The 20712-nt window shown below is 46.3% G+C and overlaps 1 protein-coding gene across 5 annotated transcripts in view, besides 2 other annotated features; it reads right to left on the bottom strand.

Moving 5' to 3' along the window:
* The window catches only part of CDH3 (cadherin 3), an 88462-nt gene that overhangs the window by 52429 nt on the left and 15321 nt on the right, over positions 1-20712 (bottom strand). For all 5 annotated transcript variants that reach the window (XM_047433450.1, XM_011522800.4, NM_001793.6 and 2 more), the window contains 6 exons: positions 4873-4958; positions 3066-3209; positions 2687-2842; positions 2437-2581; positions 1369-1544; positions 247-375 (listed from right to left, as the gene is read on the bottom strand). In XM_047433450.1, coding sequence (XP_047289406.1) covers positions 247-375; positions 1369-1544; positions 2437-2581; positions 2687-2842; positions 3066-3209; positions 4873-4958 — 836 coding nt within the window. The remainder of the gene's footprint in view (positions 1-246; positions 376-1368; positions 1545-2436; positions 2582-2686; positions 2843-3065; positions 3210-4872; positions 4959-20712) is intronic.
* Positions 4437-4581: an enhancer, noted in NCBI's record as "145 bp 16:68710737 sequence used in MPRA reporter constructs". NCBI's record gives its function as "activates a minimal TATA-containing promoter with rs3118228 allelic activity by MPRAs in C283T melanocytes and UACC903 melanoma cells {active_cell/tissue: C283T | UACC903}" and the evidence as "EXISTENCE:reporter gene assay evidence [ECO:0000049][PMID:36423637]".
* Position 4509: a transcriptional cis regulatory region, noted in NCBI's record as "rs3118228 or 16:68710737 MPRA-significant variant associated with a GWAS melanoma risk locus at 16q22.1". NCBI's record gives its function as "allelic transcriptional activity by MPRAs in C283T melanocytes and UACC903 melanoma cells {active_cell/tissue: C283T | UACC903}" and the evidence as "EXISTENCE:reporter gene assay evidence [ECO:0000049][PMID:36423637]".

Below are 20712 nucleotides of genomic sequence, written 5' to 3'. Positions count from 1 at the left end.
CGTGTTAGGAAACGTACATAGATTATTTCATTTGAAACTCAGAACAATGCAGCAGGTATTATCATTATCTCCTTTTCACAGATTAGGAAATGGGGCACAGAGAGGTTAGGTAGTTTTCCTAAGGTCACACAGCCATAGTGCTGAGACTGGCATTTGAAGCAATATAGACTGGTTCCAGTTTCCTGAGAAAGGCAAACTTTGGTCCTTCATTATCTGATGAGGGACTGAGTGAGGAAGGGGCATTACCTTCTGGGGGTCAAACATGGGAGCATTGTCATTGGCATCAAGGATCTCCACTACTGCCACTGCCGTGGTGGTGGAGCCGTCCCCATCCATGTCTGTGGCCTGGATGGTCAGTGTGTACTCAGGGACTTTCTGGGGAGAAAGGAGAGGGGAAGCCCATTGTGAGTTTAATCTGAAGGGTCCCTCCCCTGACCTCCAGGAAGCACTGGCTCATGGGTGTGTGGATGGAGAGGAGGATCTCTCCCTATCATAACGCTGACTCCTTGACCACCCCTCACCCACTGCCAGGAGAACAGAAGCAGAGGATGCTGTTGGAGAGGGAACGAGTGATCCAAATAGTTCTCCTGGGCCTGTCCTAGGGAAGCCTTGGCATCGCCCCCTGACCCTTAACTGCTCCAGAATGAGTCTTGCTTTTGTTTTTGAGACAGGATCTTGCCCTGTCGCCCAGGTTGCAGTGTAGTGGCGTGATCTTGGCTCACTGCAAACTCCACCTCCCAGGTTCAAGTGATTCTCCTGCCTCAGCCTCCCAAGTAGCTGGGATTACAGGTGCCTGCCACCACGCCCAGCTAATTTTTGTATTTTTAGTAGAGACAGGGTTTCACCATGTTGGCCAGGCTGGTCTTGAACTCTTGACCTCAAGTGATCCTCCCGCCTTGGCCTCCCAAAGTGCTGAGATTACATGCGTGAGCCACTGTGCCTGGCCTCAGAAAAAGAGTTTTGAGTGAGGATTTGGATAAAGGTATCAATTAGGAAACAGGCAGCAAATCCAGTATCCATGGAGCTAATTCTACTTTGTGGCACATAAGGGACCAATTTGGGTAATGTGCACACTAAGTGAGCCACTCTGAGAGGAAATGAGAAAACCTACAGAAAATACCAAAAGTAGGCATTTTACAGCTGCCTCCCAGCCCTGGAGGAGATTTAACGAGATTGGCTGGCAGCGGGCCACAGGCCCAAGGAACCAGGGGCATGGCATGTGAACCCAGCAGTGGCCATCCCAGCTGACGTGGGTCCTCACTGTTCTGCCTTGGGCTTTGTGGGCAGGGATAGGAGCTTCTGCTCTCAGAGTCAGTTCCCAGCCTGGGCAAGTCTGGGTAGGCAGTACTTTCCCTAAGGGCCACTCACTTCCCGGTCCAGGCCACTGGAGATGACGCTGATGGTGCCTGTGCTCCGGTGAATGGTGAACATGAGGTCGTGTGGGTCCTTTGGTTCTTGGCTATGGATGGAGTAAGCAACCACCCCATTGTAGGTGTAGATGGCATCATCCTCATCCGTGGCTGTCACCTGCATCACAGAAGTACCTGGAGAGAAGGGATGAGTATCTTTTCCTCCCAGTTCCAACTCCAGCCCTGTCTACTTCTGGAACTCTTTTTTTCTTTTCTTTTTTTTTTTTTTTTTTTTTTTTGAGATGAAGTCTCACTCTATCACCCAGGCTGGAGTGCAATGGTGTGATCTCGACTCACTGCAACCTCTGCCTCCTGGGTTCAAGTGATTCTCCTGCCTCAGCCTCCTGAGTGGCTGGGATTACAAGTGCCCGCCACCACGCCCGGCTAATTTTTTAATATTTTTAGTAGAGATAGGATTTCACCATGTTGGCCCAGCTGGTCTTAAACTCCTGATCTCAAGTGATGTGCCTGCCTAGGCTCCTGAAGTTCTAGGGTTCCAGGCGTGGGCCACCGCGCCCAGCCTCCATCAGCCATGTTCTAACACTCCAGTCTTTGCTGCATTCCCTGTGGCTGCCATGCTCTCAAGAGCTTCGCATTAGGCGCTCTGTATTACCTAACAGTCTGCACATGGTATTTCTAATCTTCACCACTCTTCAAAGTTGATATTATTCCCATTTTTAGATGTGAGAAGTGAGGCTCAGAGGTCAAGAATATGCCCAGGATCACAGCCGGTAAAGAGGGCAAAGCCAAGATTCAAATCTAGGTCTTTGAAGCTCCAAAGCTAGTGGTTCCCAAGCTTGGCTGATCATCTGAAGCTTTAGGGAAAATTTCAAATATACAGATTCCAGAGCTCTGCTCTAGGATCATTCTTATTCAGGAACCTTGGGATGGAAGGGGGGAAATCTGGATTTTTAAGAAGATCCCAAGTAATCTGATACACAGCCAAGGAAATCAGGTATGGTGGGATCTTTTAGCATTTAAGGGTGTGGGCCCAGCCCCGTAGCAGTCCCCTTCCCAGTCCTCTTACCTGGTAGGACTCCCTCTAAGACACTCCCTCGGAAGGTGTCCTGGGTAAACTTGGGCTTGTGGTCATTCTGGTCGGTCACGATGATGGAGATGTTCATGGGGTCCTCCACTGAGGCACCATTCTCTGACACAGCGTGGCCAAAGAGCTGTGGGGTACACAGCTCTGGGGTCAGCCCGGTGCCACCCACCTCACCAGGCCTAGGATCCCACTTCTGAGGGGACATTTACAGTAGACACTAAAGGCTACTTGCCTCATACTTGGCAATCTCCTCCCGGTCCAGTGGCTTATTCAACAACAACCAGCCTGTCTCCTTCTCTACAGCGAAGACACCCTCAGGGGGGCTGTCTGCCCCCGGCCCCGTGATGCTGTAGAAAATCTTGGTGTCTCTATCTTTATTAGACTTGAGCTGGAGGGAAAAGAAAATGGCAGCTGACAAAGTAACAAATATCCCATGACTGTGACAAAGAGTCCTCTGTGAAGAGGGGCACTGCCATAGGAGAATCTGCTCACTGAACAGGAGAGGTTTTTCTGTCTCAGCCCCCACATTCAGTAGCAAGAAATCTCATGCAGGCCTTTGGATGGGGGTCCCTGGAGCCACCAATGCTTCCCAGGAGAAGGCACAGTCGTACCTGATTCAGTCTCTGGGGGAAGGGACCCTTGCCATTTTCAGGGACAGATATTGGAGCAACCACCCAATCTCTCTTGTGTCTTCGTAAGATACGTTTGGATGGGAAGATCTTCAATGGATTCCTTTCCTTCAGTGACCTTCTTTCCTGCAAGGAGAGAAACTCCTTAACCCAGATGTGCAAATAGCTGGGACATGCTCAACATCCTCTCACCTATAAGAGTTAAAAGGGTGGCTGGGCATGGTAGCTCACGCCTATAATCCCAGTACTTTGGGAGGGTCACTTGAGCCCAGGAGTTCCAGAGCAGCCTGGGCAAGATAGCGAGACCCTAAGTTAAATTAAAAAAAAAAAAAAGTTAAGGGTGAGGAGACCTAGATGAGCCTATTGCAAGGGAAACTCGGTGTTTACTTATACAGGAGGACCAGTGAAATATACTACAGCACATCCATCTAGTGGAATACTATGCAGCTCTAAAAATAAGAATGAGTATGCTCTCTATGTGCCAAAAGGGAAAGATCTTTTTTTCTTTCTTTTCCTTTTTTTGAGACGGAGTCTCGCTCTGCCACCCAGGCTGGAGTGCAGTGGCACGATCTCAGCTCACTGCAACCTCTGCCTCCCAGGTTCAAGTGATTCTCCTGCCTCAGCCTCCTGAGTAGCTGGGATTACAGGCATCTGCCACCACGCCCAGCTAATTTTTGTATTTTTAGTAGAGACAGAGTTTCACCATATTGGCCAGGCTGGTCTCGAACTCCTGACCTCAAGCAAGCCACCCGCCTCGGCCTCCCAAAGTGCTGGGATTACACGCGTGAGCCACCGCATTCGGCCTGATTTTTGATTTATGCTGTCAAATGGAAAGATTAAGGTATAGGGCAGCTTAATAGAGTTTAGCATTTTATTTAACAAACACATTGTGCTTAATATGTGCCAGGTACTGTTCCACCTTTTGTGTAAAAGGGTAGGAAATAAGACCATATAGTCATATTTTCTTGTACATGGATGAAGTCAGGGAGAATACAGAAAAAAACTAATAGTGGCTATCTGTGGAAAGAGGGTAGACATTGTGCTGTGCTGATACACTGTTAAGTAGAAAAAGAAAGGTGCAGACATGTGAACAGCATCTTAGCTTTTGCATAAGGAAAAGAATCTGTTTTTATATATGTATATATACGAAATAGGTAACATGTAAAAACATGTACAATATAAATAAATATGTAACACATGTAAGTATAGACTATATATAAACTCTGGAAGGAAAGAAACTGGGAACAGTGGTTAACTGCGTGAAGGGGTGAAGGGGGCTTTGGGCAAATGGAGGCAAACAAGGGGAGATTATTTATTGTATAGCTTATTATTATTTTTTATTTTTGAACCATGTGGCTATATTAGCTATTCAAAAATTAAAACGAAGTGTGGCCAAGCACCCCAGATGTATCTTCCTGGAGGCTCATGGGATTGGCAGGCCTGCATTTAGAGCTGCTTTCAGTTGGGGTTAACATGGATGATAAGGGAAGGAAGTAAAGGAAGGTGGGAGAGGGAATCCGAGGGACTCAGTACAGTGGGTGATTACTCACAAGGCAGCTCTTGGCTCCACTGGCCTGACCTCAGGCACCACTGTTGGGTAGCTGCAAGCACTACCCCCCTTAGATCAGTGCTCACACCCAAGCTGTGGACAGCTGAGGACTAACACTACCTCCTCTGAAGGGCTGACTTGGCTCACAATGGCCACAGCAACCAAGGGCTCCTGGCCAGCAATTTGGGCATGCACAGAGAACATCTTTCTTTTGTCCTGCAGGTGGACATGGTATTTTACCTGGACTGTCTCGCCATTCCGCACAGTGAAGTCATCATTATCAGTGCTAAACAGAGCTGGCTCTTGCCCAGGGCAGCCCATGAATACTGTGGGGAAGGGGAAGAGAGAGCATTAGGAAGGCAGGAGTATTCTGGAAGTTGCCCCAGGAAAACAAGACTGACAAGAGTCCTCTGACTGGATCCAGGACTGCTAAGTGGCTGCAGAAGGGAGACTTGGCTTACTTTCTCTGACCAGGAGTGTGACTAATACAAGTTTCAGAGGAGGCTTCCAAGTTTGGTTTCGAGAGGGAAGATCGCCTGGTGGTCAGTTTGTGGGTCAAACTCTTCTTTGTTCTTGGTCCCAGAGGACCAAGATCATAGACATTCATGGACATTAGCCCCAGGTGGCCTCATGTGACATGGGGTTGACTAAGGTCATAGCTAGAGGCAGAAGATTTTCTGAAGGCTGTGAGAGTCTATTTACACACAATATATATGCCCACAGGATCACCTGGACAACCTTTGGTTGTTTCAGTTCATTTCGCTCCTTCTGAATCCCCAATGCTTGGCTACTCTTTAAACAAGCACTCCGAGTTAGTAACCACCATTCACCAGCTGGAGGTGAATTTCATCCCTATAACTATGATACCAAGGTAGGTATTATCCCCCACTTTTTTTTCTTTTCTTTTTTTTTTTTTTCGAGGCAGAGTCTTGCTCTGTCACCAGGCTGGAGTGTAGTGGCACAATCTCAGCTCAAAGCAACCTCCACCTCCTGGGTTCAAGTGATTCTCCCGCCTCAACCTCCTGAGTAGCTGGGGTTACAGGCGTGCGCCACCATGCCCAGCTAATTTTTGTTTTTTAGTAGAGATTGGGTTTCCCCATGTTGGCCAGGCTGGTCTTGAACTCCTGACCTTGTGATCCACCCGCCTCGGTCTCCCAAAGTGCTGGGATTACAGGCATGAGCCACCGCGCCCAGCCGCCTTTCCAAAGATTAGAAAACTGAGGTTCAGAAGCCAGGTCTACCCGACTCCAAGACACACACTAGAGAATATTCACAACCAACGTTGTTACCTACTCTTCCTTATGGCCAACGCAAGAAATCAGGGAATCTGCCAGGGGCTATACCCTGGGTCCTGTCAGCACCATGCTCTGCCCAGTGCTCCCATTTTTGCTAGGCTGCAACATAACAAAGACCACAAGGACGGCCCCACGCCTGTCCATAGGTATGTCAGGCGAGGGCACAAACTGTCCTTTCAGAAAGCCTGTCTTTTAGTTTCAGATTATTATTATTTTGGTTTAAAAATACCTTTCCTTAAAATAAGAAAGGATAACAGATGAGGGTTTTTTTTTTCTTTCAATTTTTACTTTTTTTATTTTTTGGAAACAGAGTCTCACTCTGTCACCCAGGCTGGAGTGCAGTGGCATGATCTCGGCTCACTGCAACCTCCACCTCCCAGGTTCAAGTGATTCTTCTGCCTCAGCCTCCCGACTAGCTGAGACTATAGGCACGCACCACCATGCCTAGCTAATTTTTGTATTTTTAGTAGAGATGGGGTTTCACCATATTGACCAGGCTGGTCTCGAACTCCTGACCTTGTGATCTGACCGCCTCGGCCTCCCAGAATGCTGGGATTACAGGCGTGAGCCACTGCATCCGGCCCAGATGAGGTTTTTAAAATAATGAAAGTAATATGGACATGACAAAGTATTCACATAGTATATAAGAGCACAATATAAAAAAGTAGAATTCTTTTTTTTGAGACAGGGTATCACTCTGTCACTTAGGCTGGAATGCAGCAGTGCAATCATAACTCACTACAGCCTCAACCTCCCAGGCTCAAGGGGTTCTCCTGCCTCAGCCTCCTGTGTGGCTGGGACCACAGACGCATGCCACCATACCCGGCTAATTTTCCTTAATTTTTTGTAGAGATGGGGCCTCACTTTGTTGCCCCAGCTGGTCTCGAACTCCTGGGCTCAAGCACTTCTCTTGCCTTGGCTTCCCAAAGCACTGGGATTACAGATACGAGCCACCATGCCTGGCCGAAAAAGAAGAATCCTAAACGATTAATATCCAGAATATGTAAAGAATTCATAAAACTCAACAACAACAAAACCCAATTTTAAAAAACAGGCAAAGGACTTGAAAAAACCTTTCTCCAGAGAAGATACACAATGGCCAATAAGCACATGAAAAGATGCTCAATATCATTAGTTAATAGGGAAATGCAAATCAAAATCACAATGAGATACCACTTCACATGCACTAGGATGGCTATAAAAGAAAAAAAAGAAAACAACAAGTGTTGGCAAGGATAGAGGGAAATTGGAATTGTCGTACACTGCTGGTGGGAATGTGAAATGATGCAGCCACTGTGGAAAACAGTTTGGCAGTTCCTCAACGTGTTAAATGTAGAATTACCACATGACCTAGCAATTCAATGCCTAGGTATATACCTGAAAGAACCAAAAGGATTCAAACAGATACTTATGCATTCATTTTTACAGCAGTGTTATTCATAATAGTCAAAAGGTAGAAACAACCCAAGTGTCCATCAAGAGATGAATCTTTTTTTTTTTCTGAGATGGAGTCTCACTCTCTTGCCCAGGCTATGGTACAGTGGCTCACCGCAACCTCCACCTCCTAGGTTCAAGCGATTCTCATGCCTCAGCCTCCCGAGTAGCTGGGCCTACAGGTGTGCACCACCATGCCCAGCTAATTTTAGTATTTTTAGTAGAGATGGGGTTTCACCATGTTGGCCAGGCTGGTCTCGAACTCCTGGCCTCAAGCAATCCACCCGCCTGGCCTCCCAAAGTGCTGGGATTACAGGAGTGAGCCACTGCACCCGGCCTCTATACGAATTTTTTGAAAATCATCTGGGCATGGTGGTATGCACCTGTTCCAGCAACTTGGGAGGCTGAAGTGGGAGGATCATTTGAGCCCATGAGTTTGAAGCTGCAGTGAGCCATGACTGCGCCACTGTACTCCAGCAAGACCCTTTTCTCTAAGAAAAAAAAAAAAGGAATTGACCAGGGGCTAGAGAGAGAGAGAGGGGAGGGGAACTACTACCTAATGCCTAATGAGTACAGAGTTTCTGTTGGGGATGATGAAAAAGTTCGGGAGATAGATAATGGCGATGTTGCACAAACTGTGGATGTACTTAGTGCTACTGAATTATTTACTTAAAAATGGTTGAAATGGTACATTTTATGTTATGCCTATTTTAACACACACACAAACAAAAGTCTGATATGGGAAGACAATCACTTTGGAAAACAATTTGGCAGTACATATTGATATATTAATTCCCTAAGACCCAGAAAGTCCACTGTGATGTACAGACCCAACAAAAATACATTTGCCAAAACCTATGTATTATAATGTTCATAACAGCACTATTCATAATAGCTAAGCCAGAATCGGCCCAAACAATGAGGGAGAATGGGTAGAAACACTGGGTATATTCACATAATGAAGTGAATGAAGCACAAGGACAGGCAACTACATGGGAAATTTAACAAACATAAGGTTGAGTAGTAGAAGCCAGATATGAGAGGACATATGCAAGATTCCACTAACAGGAAGTTCAAAACCAGGCAAAACTCATCCAGGCAAAGGAAGTTAAGACACTGGCCATCTTTTAGGCAGTGGACTCAGTGAATGGGAGAGGACAGAGGGGCTTGGGGACCCTAAAGAGCTGCCTCAGAGCCCAAAAGCTTACCACACACAGAAGGATCCTCTGTGGGAAGGCTGGAATGTGATCACAAGAAAGAGAAGATCGCTTAGGAACCAGCCCTGCCTCCTTGACGACATCCCCGCCGAGGAGTGCTGGGCTGTGACGTGCTTGGCCAGTGGGAGGAAGGGGAAAGGAGATCTGGGCCTGATTCAGTTCCAGAGGGTCCCAGGGGCCACACGATCCCCAGGTGGCCCTGCCCTTTATTGCCAGCACACAGCTTTGTAGACTCATCTTCTGTCCTCAGAAGATGAGTGCTTTGCCTTAGTGCTAGAAGGACCAGGAACGATAATGTGGCAAAGGTTAAATCATCTTCAATATAGGGCAAAAGTCAAATAATCTATGGGGGCACTTACTCCATAGGTTATTTATCCAGCTATGCAATATAACACTTTATATAGGGAAGTTCTTATACTATGATAGTAAAACAAAATAAGAATGCAGAACTACTATATAATACATGTAACTATGCACAGAAAAATGACTGAAATGACCTTTCCCAATGATGAAGGTCATCAGAAACTTATTTTCTTTTTTTTTTATTTTTTATTTATTTATTTTTTTTTTTTTTGAGACGGAGTCTCGCTGTCGCCCAGGCTGGAGTGCAGTGGCGCAATCTCGGCTCACTGCAGGCTCCGCCCCCTGGGGTTCACGCCATTCTCCTGCCTCAGCCTCCCGAGTAGCTGGGACTACAGGCGCCCGCCACCTCGCCCGGCTAATTTTACAGAAACTTATTTTCAAGTTCACTGCAATAACCATTTGGCCATGACTACCTGTTGGCAACTTATTTTCTCAATTTTTCTGCAGGTCCAAGTTTTCCCTTAACACGAGTTGTGTCCCTCCAAAATTCTTATGTTGAAGTCCTAACCACTGGTACCTAAAATGGCCATTAAATGTGAAGACAGGGACCTTAAAGAGGTAATTAAGGTAAAATGAAGTCAGCCAGGCATGGTATCTCACGCCTGTAATCCCAGGACTTTCGGAGGGCAAGATGGGCGGATCACCTGAGGTCAGGAGTTTGAGATCAGCCTGGCCAACATAGTAAAATCCCGTCTCTACTAAAAATACAGAAATTAGCTGGGCATGGTGGCCTGCGCCTGTAGTCCCAGCTACCCGGGAGGCTGAGGCAGGAGAATCGCTTGAACCCAGGAGACAGAGGTTGCAGTAAGCCGAGATCGCACCACCTCACTCCAGCCTGGACAACAGAGCAAGATCCATCTCAAAAAAAAAAAAAAAAAAAGGTAAAATGAACTCATTAGGCTAGGCCCTAATCCAGCATGACTGGTATCTTTAGAAGAGGAAGAAGTTTGGTTTGGACACAGGTAGTTACAGAGGGAAGACTATGTGAAGCCACAGGGAGAAGTTGTCCATCTACAAGCCAGAACTATAAGAAAATAAATTTCTGTTATTTAAGCCACCCCAGTACCTGGCACTTTGTTATGGCAAACCTAGCAAGTGGGCATCAAATCTCAGCTGGGCATGGTGGCAGGCACCTGTAGTACCAGCTACTTGGGAGGCTGAGGTGGGCAGATTGCTTGAGCCCAGGAGTTTGAGTCCAGCCTGGCCAATATAGCTAGACCCTGTCTCTTAAAAAAAAAAAAAAAAAGTACATCAATCTAAAATCCCTCCCCTTCTAAATTACTATTAATAGATAATATTTATGTACTACTTTTTTGTTTTTGTTTTTTTGAGACACAGTCTCGCTCTGTTACTCAGGCTGGAGTGCAGTGGTGTAATCTCAGCTTACTGCAACCTCCACCTCCCGGGCTCAAGCGATTCTCTTGCCTCAGCCTCTTGAGTAGCTGGGACTACAGGAGTGCACCACCACGCCCAGCTAATTTTTGTATTCTTAGTAGAGACAGGGTTTCACCATGTTGGCCAGGGTGGTCTCGAACTCCTGGCCTCAAGCGATCCACCCGCTTTGGCCTCCCAAAGTGCTGGGATTACAGGCATGAGCCACTGTGCCAGGCTGATTCAGTATTATTTAAAGCTGGGCTGAAGACCCTGTGAAAGTCCCTCAAGAATCCATTAATTGGAAATATCACTGCTGATGTAGAACTTGAATTAACTTATTAGGTATTTATGCTTTCTCATTTGGAAGATGGATATTACACTTCACAGAACCATCATGAGTAACGTACAAGTTGAAACTCCAAACCATGATGTAGTCCCAGCTGCTTAGGTAACTGAGGTGGGAAGATACCTTGAGCCCAGGAGGTCGAGGTTACAGGGATCCATGCTCTTGCCACTGCACCCCAGCTGGAGACAGAGCAAAACCATTTCAAGAAAAATAAACCCCAACCGGGAATGTGTAGACCCCCAGAACCTTACAGACCATTACCCACCATTTACCACATGAGGAAACTAGGGCTGGGGGTGAGGGGTGGTGGCGGTGAGATGACTAGCCAAAGGTCGAACAGCTTGGAATTAGAATGAGAACCCAGGGTGGTCAGGTTCTAAAGCCAGGTTCGTCAATGCAGCATTCATTCAAGAACTACTTAAGTACTAATGATGTTCTTTTTTTTTTTTTTTTTTTTTGAGACAGAGTCTTGCTCTGTTGCCCAGGCTGGAGTGCAGTGGCGCAATCTCGGCTCACTGCAAGCTCCGCCTTCTAGGTTCACGTCATTCTCCTGCCTCAGCCTCCCGAGTAGCTGGGACTACAGGCGCCCGCCACCAGGCCCGGCTAATTTTTTGTATTTTTAGTAGAGACAGGGTTTCACTATGTTGGTCAGGCTGGTCTCAAACTCAAGTGATCCACCCACCTTGGCCTCCCAAAGTGAGTGACTAAAGGTCACTTTTATTTTTTTGGTAGATACAGGGTCTTGCTGTTTCCCAGGCTGGTCTAGAACTCCTGGGCACAAGTGACCCTCCCACCTTGGCCTCCCAGGGTGCTGGGATTACAGGCATGAGCCACTGTGCCTGGCCACTTTTCTCAATCCTAAAACAGCCCTCTTCCTAAGGGAAGATCTTTAGCCAGTAAAGGGCTAACCAGACAATTCTGTCAATTATTTCCTTTAAGGAGAGACTCAATGACTCCAATCCTCTCCCACCAGGTAACCCAGAAGGAGGCTAATGGATTGACTCCCCTACTACTCAGAAGACTTAATCCCCAAAACTCTGAGAGCTGCTACCGCCCACCCCCCCCGCCACCCCACCAGGAGCTAGAAATCCTCTTCCCGCTGTCTACAAAATCTGCTTCCCACTAGAGTGTACAACTCACTCTACTACCCTGTCTTCTGGCATATTTCCACTGTTACATGGTTCCACATATTTGTAGCACAGTATCTGGGCTGTGCATCTATTTGTAGAAGGGACAGTGTCAATAATCAAGGGGAAGCCAACGGTCATGTATTATAGGTGTATGTGCCTCCCACTCAGGGTGCATATTCCAGATACATCTGAGGAGCTGGCCCCATCAGCTCTAAACTGCTTTGAGTTGGGTACAGAGCACAACCAAGGGGCAATGGTCCAGACTGATAGGAATAAGCTTCAAACACCCACTCTGCTCAGGATACCCAGCTAAGTGTTTTCCTACCCAAATCCTCACAAAATAACCTGCAATGTGGTATTACTTCTCCCAATCTGACAACTCAGGAAACAAGAGGCTGCCAGGGGTTGAACTGCCCCAGGAAGCAGCAAGATCAGGTTTCAAATCCTGAAGGCAGGGAAATAATGAAGAATACGAAATTTGGAGTCCAGAAGACTTGGATTCCAATCCCTATAATGTCACTTATCTATCACATGATTGGGCAAATTGTATGATTATATAGAAGCTCAGTTTCCTCATCTGGAAAATGAAACAATACCTACCTCATCAGGTTATTAGGAAGATTAAATGGGATAGTGTTCAAACAGCACTGAATACTGTGCCTGGCCCAGAGTAAGTAAGGTAAGCTCTCAATAAAAAGGTACCTTAGACTACTTACAATTAACCTAGGCTTCTGACATCCACATCCTGGCCTCTTTCTATGTATACCATCGAAAAATTCTCTCTCAAAGTGGGAAGAAGTTAGCTACAGCTGTATGCTTTACTCAACGGATGAAGCTGATCAAAGATGGTGACACATGGGACCAGAGGGCACAATAGGGAACTGGCTCAGTCTGCATTTGGAGAGGGCTGTTTTGTAGGGGTCCTCTGTGGTTTACCAGAGGAAGCAGAAGACGGAGATTTCATGAAAAAGCTGGCCTTTCTAGGGAAACTTGCTAGGCACATGTAGGAACATGAGTAGTCTTCTCTGCAAGCTATGAGTCAAGACATAGTAAATGGTAAGCCCTGGGGCAGATCATTACAATTTCCTCCCAGATGCTTCCTGGCACCACTGGCTTGTATCACTAGTTTCATAATGAAACTGATACGAAACCAGGTCTCATCATCACTCATCCCTCCTTTACCCCATCTTTTAATAGTCAGCGAAGTAAACTGACTCCTGTTCCTAACTGCAGCATGGTTCCACAAGGCCACACATCTTGGCCAAATCACGGGGGCATGAATGGGCTTGCATCAAACTCTTTCTGGGGCAACTTGATGATGAGCACATGGGGCAATAGTTCAGAATTTAAGGCTGGAAAATGAAAGCCTAAACATAGCTCTTTCTTCCACACCCATCCAGGGCTTCAGACAGTCATTTGACCGCATTAGCCTCAGTTTCTCCCACAAGGATTCTGAATTACAAGGTCAATGAACCTGATGAAGAGGTGCCTGCTCTACCAATATAAATGGACAGCTTTTAGCACTGAGCCTAAATGTACATTCCCTAAAATACTGTCGGGGAAGGGAAAAAGGGAATCAGTAACCTGAGGCTGCTTCTAGAGAAATTAACAATTAATATCATAGGACACATTATAGGTAAAAATAAATAAAAAGAGAAATTAACAACAAAAAAGCCAGAGCTCTATGTATCTGCACTCGATAGAAGACATCCAATGGAAACCAGGAGTCTCTGGCCTATGTTCAAAGCTCCTCTCTAAAGATCATCCTGCCAAGCCTGGCCTCGGGTCCTGAACTGGCGCCACTAATAAAACTTGGGCAAGAAGAGTTTGGTCCCTGGGGTACTAGAGCTATTGGGAAAAGAAAGCTTTTTAAATAGACTTATAAGAATTGATGGATGCTGGGCTAAGAACTCATTCCTCTTATGTTCCAGGCCTGCTTTTAGGTTGGAATTTGCCTAGACACCTCCATACTCCCAAGGGAATACCCTTGAAGGTCAGGAGCTTGTCTCTTCCTGGAGGTGCTATCTGGTCCTGATGTCCAACATTACTGGATGTTCTGGCAAAATAAAACCACCCATCTTTCCGTAGACAAAATGTCCATCAAGTGATCACTCTCCACCAATTTCCCTACTGATCTCTGGGTATTTTGACTAGAGGAAAAGGAAAACATCATCTTAAACATATTGTGGCCAAAAGGCAGCCTGGGGAGTTGGGGGAAGAGATTGCCTAGGAAATTTCTATTCTAGCTTGCTTTAGGGACATACCTAGCTCACAAAACAAACAAATTTGTCCTTATAGCTATCACTACCTTCTGTTAAGGGATTGGGATAAGAGGGCACCGGGGAAAAGTAGGTGGAAGTGACTTGAAGAAAGATTCTGGCATTTTTCCTAAGTAAAACTACATATAGAAAAAAGTTCACCAACTAAGAAATACAAATTAAAAGGGCAAGTGCTGTGTCACAGTTGGGAACCGGGTGCTGCTATATATTGCTAGGGGTGGGGGAATATTAACTGGCACAACCTTTCTGGCAAATTAAAATGCCTTAAACAAGCCCATTGACCCAGGAATTGTGCCAAGATACCATCCCAGATGTGACAAAACCATACCTGCCAGGATGTTCGTGACTTGCTTAATAGGGAAAAAAAGCAAAAAAAGGTCTCAACAACCTAACTCTCAACAGAACAGTTAATTATGCTGTGCCACAGTCACCCAAATGCCTAATCTACAGCCTTAAATACTATAAAAGAAAACCTACCCAGGAAAAAGTATTTTGCAGAGGGGGGAAAAAAGCAGGTCATAAAGCCATTTATAGCATAAGGCTGACAATTATTATATAAAATATTTATAGTTTTATTCTTGTACCAAAAAGAAGAGAGAGAGAGGGGCTGAGCCCTGGTGCCAAGGCTGTGGTCTGCCTCTCTCCGTCACCAAGTATTTTCCACGCACAAGAAAACCAAGATGGTGGCCAGTGAGCCAGACCCGTTTTGAGGAGACCCACGGGAGAGGTCATAGGGCAGCAAAGTGGGGTGGGGGGAAGAGGCTGCACATGCTGGGATCCCAAGAGGCCTTGGGGCTCCTGGATTCACTTGGGACCCACCCCTGGGCATGCTGGGAGGCCCATTGCCCTTGCCTAGCAAGCTTGGGGCAGCTCTGCAAGGGCCTGCCAGAGCCCTGGGTGCACCTATTGGGTGTCCAGGCCTTTTTCCCCAGAGCTGTAAGCAGAGCAGCTCTTGGAGGGCAACAGAACCCAGGTGGAGTGCAGTTACACCTGGCGGATGGCACCCATCTATACACAGGCCCCCTGGACCTGGATCTTCTCACAGATAGGGCTGACGGGGTGTGTGAGGGCCTCAGCTTGCAGCCCTTCTCTGACCCAGCCAAGCAGAAGAGGAAGCTGGGATACTGGGGAGGCAAGCCTGGAGAGTGAGTGGTGAAATCATTCAGACTCGGGCCCTCTGCCTCAGATCAGATACCCTCAACAAAGACTCAGGTGGAAAGATTGGGAAATGGATGATTGATTTCAAATATTCCTTTGAAAAGACAAAGGTCCCGTATGGGTGGTAGGCCCCCATTTTGCCTTCCAGTTTTTCCACAGTAAACATGTATTTGATTTTCAATCAGAATTTGATGTGAGTTTTTCCCCCGACTAGAAAAATTATATGGCAACCCCATGTCGTTGAGGGTGGAGAAAGCAGTTCCAGGGGAGTTTTGGCTGACGAAAGCTCTGCTGTGTTCATCAAGTTCCTCATAACCCTTAGGAGGTGAGTCTTCCCTCCCAGAGTGAAACCCAAACTAGGCACTCTGAGAGTTTGGAACGCGGCTGACTCAGCATGAGGTGTGCTGTCTGGCTCACTGGCTACCATCCTCAAGGACCATGCCAGAACAAAGATCCCAGTGATCAACCTGAGACAGCTGTGGTAACAATTAAGGGTCTGGTAGGTAAAAGTGCTGTGTACTGGCTCTGCAGCCTTGCGTCAATCACTTAATCTCTAAACTGTTTAACAGTAAGTACTCAATAAATGTAAGCCATTTATTGCTGCTTAATTTCCAGTCTCTAAAATGGGAATACACACACACACACACCCCCAGGTGCTTGTTAGGGTCAAATATGATGTGTTGTGCTTTATATTTATTTATTTATTATTTTTTGAGACAGAGGCTAACGCTGTCACCCAGGCTGCAGTGCAGTGGCATGATCTCGGCTCACTTGAACCTCCCAGTTTCAAGTGATTCTCCTGCCTCAGCCTCCCGAGTAGCTGGGACTACAGGCACATGCCACCACACCCGGCTAATTTTTTGTATCTTTTGTAGACGTGAGGTTTCACCATGTTAGCCAGGCTGGTCTCAATCTCCTGACCTCATGATCTGCCCGCCTCAGCCTCCCAAAGTGCTGGGATTACAGGCATGAGCCACTGTGCCCAGCTGTGTTGTGCTTTAAAAAGCACAATAAAGTATTAAAAACCAGGGGCAGTGATTTAAAAAGCAACACAGAAGGACAGGAAGGTGAAGGCCATTCAGAATCCTAAGATAAGCAGAAAGTTTAAAAATAGGATCAACTGCCATAGAGGCAAGCATAGGAAATTAAATCCCAAATGCCATGCAGCTAGGCACAGTGGCTCATGCCTGTAATTCTAGCACTTTGGGAGGCCAAGGCGGGTGGGTCACTTAAGTCCAGGAGTTTGAGACCAGCCTGGGCAACATGGCGAAACCCCATCTCTACCAAAATTAGCTGGGAGTGATAGTGCATGCCTGTGGTCCCAGCTACTTGAGAGGCTGAGGTGGGAGGATCACCTGAGCCTGGGAGATCAAGGCTGCAGTGAGTCGTGATCACACCATGCACTCCAGCCTGGGCAACAGAGAGAGACCCTGTCTCAAAATAATAATAATAATATCAATAAAATGCTATGCTTCTTTCATTCACATCTCACCAGTTTGTTCCTTTCTATACATTTAGCTCTTCAAAGAGGGCTTAATGTTGTCACAGAGCAGTGATTCCCAAACATAGCTGATAGAATCATCTGGCAAACAATTTAAAAAATCCAGATTCCCTGCCGACCGCCCACCTATCACTTCTACTGAGTCAGCTTCTGGAAGTGCATCTGGGGAAAGCAGTTTGTTGCTTTTTTTTAAAGTTCTTGATTCTCTCATTTATTTCTCATGAGAAGGTAAATTGGTATGGCTTTTGATGGCACTTCAGACCACATATCAAAAATTTAAATATCCAGATCCTTCCTCTGACCAAAAGTTATATCTGTCTATTCAGTATCTCTTTTGGATGCTTTCAAGATATCCTGAAATCAGTATGTCAAAACTTAAATTCACGATCTTTACTTAACCCAAATATGGTCTTTTTCCAGCATTCTCCCCCAGGGAATAGCATATCATGTACTCAGCTTGAGAACAGAATCCGGGCATCAGAAGCAGCCCAGAGTCTGGAGCCAGAGTGCCTGGGCTCAATTACCAGGCCCACACTGACTTTGGGCAAGTTGGCTAACCTCTCTGGGCCTGTTTCCTCAGCTATGAAATGGGAATAATGCTAATATCTACCTCAGTTGAATGAGTTAATACTTAGCATAGTGGGGGAGGGGGGAGGGATAGCTTTAGGAGATATACCTAAAGCTAAATGACGAGTTAATGGGTGCAGCACACCAGCATGGCACATGTATACATATGTAACTAACCTGCACATTGTGCACATGTACCCTAAAACTTAAAGTATAATAAAATAAAATAAAATAAAAAATAAAATATCTGATTAAAAAAAATACTTAGCATAATGCCTGGCATATGGTTTAGCTAGCAGCTGCTTCTTCCTTGACCATTTCTCCCTTAGAGCTTCCCTTCCCAGACTATCACCCACCAAGACTTAGGCCCCTTCCATCTCTACCCCCACCACCTTAGTGCATACAACATCATCTTTAGTATAAATGGGTGCAAAAATCTCCATTTAAAAAGATGAATCTCTTAAAAATGCAACAGCATAGTACATTTGAAAAAAATGAAATAAGGTCACTTTCGGCCAGGCGTGGTGGCTCACGCCTGTAATCCCAGCACTTTGGGAGGCCGAGGCGGGTGGATCTCGGGGTCAGGAGATCGAGACCATCCTGGCTAACGTGGTGAAACACCGTCTCTACTAAAAATACAAAAAAAAAGTTAGCCGGGCATCATGGCGGGCATCTGTAGTCCCAGCTACTTGGGAGGCTGAGGCAGGAGAATGGCGTGAACCCGGGAGGCAGAGACGGAGGTTGCAGTGAGCTGAGATCGTGCCACTGCACTCCAGCCTGGGTGACTGAGCAAGACTCCGTCTCAGAAAAAAAAAAAAAAAGTCACTTTCCTATTTGAAACTCAGTGATATGCCTTTGTTCCTGGGATAAAAAACAATCTGGCTGGGGACAGTGGCTCATGCCTGTAATCCTAGCACTTTGGGAGGCCGAGGCAGGTGGATCACCATGAGGTCAGGAGTTTGAGACCAGCCTGGTCAACATGGTGAAACTCCGTCTGTACTAATACAAAAATTAGCTGGGTGTGGTGGCAGGCACCTGTAGTCCCAGCTATAAGGGAGGCTAAAGCAGGAGAATAGCTTGAACCCAGGAGGCGGAGTGTGCAGTGAGCCAAGATCACGCCACTGCACTCCAGCCTGGGTGACAGAGCAAGACTGTCTCAAAAAAAAAAAAAAAAAAAAAAAACTTTAAAAAATCCACCAGCCTCCGGGAACGGTGGCTCACACCTGTAATCCCAGCACTTTGGGAGGCTGAGGCAGGTGGATCACGAGGTCAGGAGATCGAGACCATCCTGGCTAATGCGGTGAAACTCCGTCTCTACTAAAAATACAAAAAAAATTAGCCGGGCGTGGTGGCGGGTGCCTGTAGTTCCAGCTACTCGGGAGGCTGAGGCAGGAGAATGGTGTGAACCCGGAGGTGGAGCTTCTTGCAGTGAGATCGTGCCACCGCACTCTAGCCTGGGCGACAGAGCAAGACTCCATCTCCAAAAAAAAAAAAAAAAAAAAGGCTGGCTTCAGCCTCCCAAAGTGCTGGGATTACAGACGTGAGCCACTGCACCCAGCCAAAAATATCTTTTTTAAAGGGACAAGGTCTTACTATATGGTCCAGGCTGGAGAGCAGTGACTGTTTACAAATGCAGTCATCATGCACTACAGCCTAGACCTCCTAGGCTCAAGTGATCCTCCTGCCTCTGCCTCCCCAAGTGGTGGGACTAAAGGTGCATGTCACCATGTCCTAAAAAACAAACTCTTTAATGTGCCAATCTCTCTCTCTAGCCACATTGAGCCTCTTCTTAAATACAGCATAACCCCCTACCACAGGGCCTTTGCACACACTACTCCCTCTGTCTGGAACAGTGTCTCCTTGCATTCCCATCCCGATTTTACACAGTTAACTCCTGACATCTTTCAGATCCCAATTCAACAGTTACTTTTTCAGGGAAATTTCCCTCAACCCTCCCAAACTAGATCAGATTCCCCAGTGAAAAACCCTTCTGGCTTTGAATAACTTTCCTCCATAGAATTTATTACAACTTGTGATTATATGTTTAGTAGTGATTGGCTGGGCGCCGTGGCTCACGCCTGTAATCCCAGCACTTTGGGAGGCTGAGACGGGCAGATCACCTGAGGTCAGGAGTTCACTACCAGCCTGGCCAACATGGCGAAACCCCATCTCTACTAAAAACACAAAAAAATTAGCCAGGTGTGCTGGCAGGTGCCTATAATTCCAGCTACTTGGGAGGCTGAGGCAGGAGAATAGCTTGAACCCGGGAGGCGGAGGTTGCAGCGAGCTGAGATCGCGCCATTGAATTCCAGCCTAGGATACAGAGTAAGACGCCATCTCCAAAATAAACAAAAAAAGTTACTAGTGATTATTTAATTGCCTATCTCCCCCACTAGAATTTGCTTCTCACTGTCTCCCAGCATTTAGCACTGTGCCCAGTACAAAGTAGGTGTTTGATAATTGTTGAATGAACTATGAAAGTCACATGACCCAACAATTTCACTTGCAGAAATCTAGTCTAAAGAAATATGTATACAAACTATTCCAGCTATAACAATACTGCTATTCCTCCTGCCACTGGCACTTAACATTGATGTACTCACTACATGCCGTTTCATACACAAACTCATTTAATCTTCACCATAACCATATGAGATCCCCATTATTATATTCATTTTACAGATGAGAAAACTGAGGCACAGAGGTTAAGTAACTTGCCCCAAGGTTCCACAAGTAGTAAGTGGACAGATTCAACCCAGACACAGTGGCTCTGGGACCCCAATTCAGGCACTCTATACATTATAATACAGATATATTTCATGCAAACTTCAACTGCAGAAATTTGAAATGGTGCCATAAATATTAGTTTTGCTTTTTATGTAAAGTGTGAAGAAATGCAAATCCCCCAAATTAAAAGTTTTAAGTTACATAATTTCAAAGCTGGAGAGTAGTGAATTGTAAGCATCCCCTTGGCCCCTCCACCCCATACATACACTTCACATGTATTCATATGAGAATATAAGTCTTGAATCATGGGAATTATGAATTATTTGTAATTTTCTTCTTTTTTTTTTTTTTTTGAGACGGAGTCTTGCTCTGTTGCCCAGGCTGGAGTGCTGGGGTGCAGTGGCGGGATCTCGGCTCACTGCAAGCTCTGCCTCCCGGGTTCACGCCATTCTCCTGCCTCAGCCTCCCAAATAGCTGGGACTACAGGCGCCTGCCACTACGCCCGGCTAATTTTTTGTGTTTTTTAGTAGAGACGGGGTTTCACTGTGTTAGCCAGGATAGTCTCGATCTCCTGACCTCGTGATCTGCCGGCCTCGGCCTCCCAGAGTGCTGGGATTACAGGCATGAGCCCCAGCGCCCAGCCTATTTGTGGTTTTCAAGAATGCATCCTTTATATAAATGCAACCACC

Source organism: Homo sapiens, chromosome 16 (genome assembly GCF_000001405.40).
Source record: "Homo sapiens chromosome 16, GRCh38.p14 Primary Assembly".
Classification (NCBI taxonomy): Eukaryota; Metazoa; Chordata; class Mammalia; order Primates; family Hominidae; genus Homo; species Homo sapiens.
This window is presented reverse-complemented; position numbering and strand designations above follow the sequence as displayed.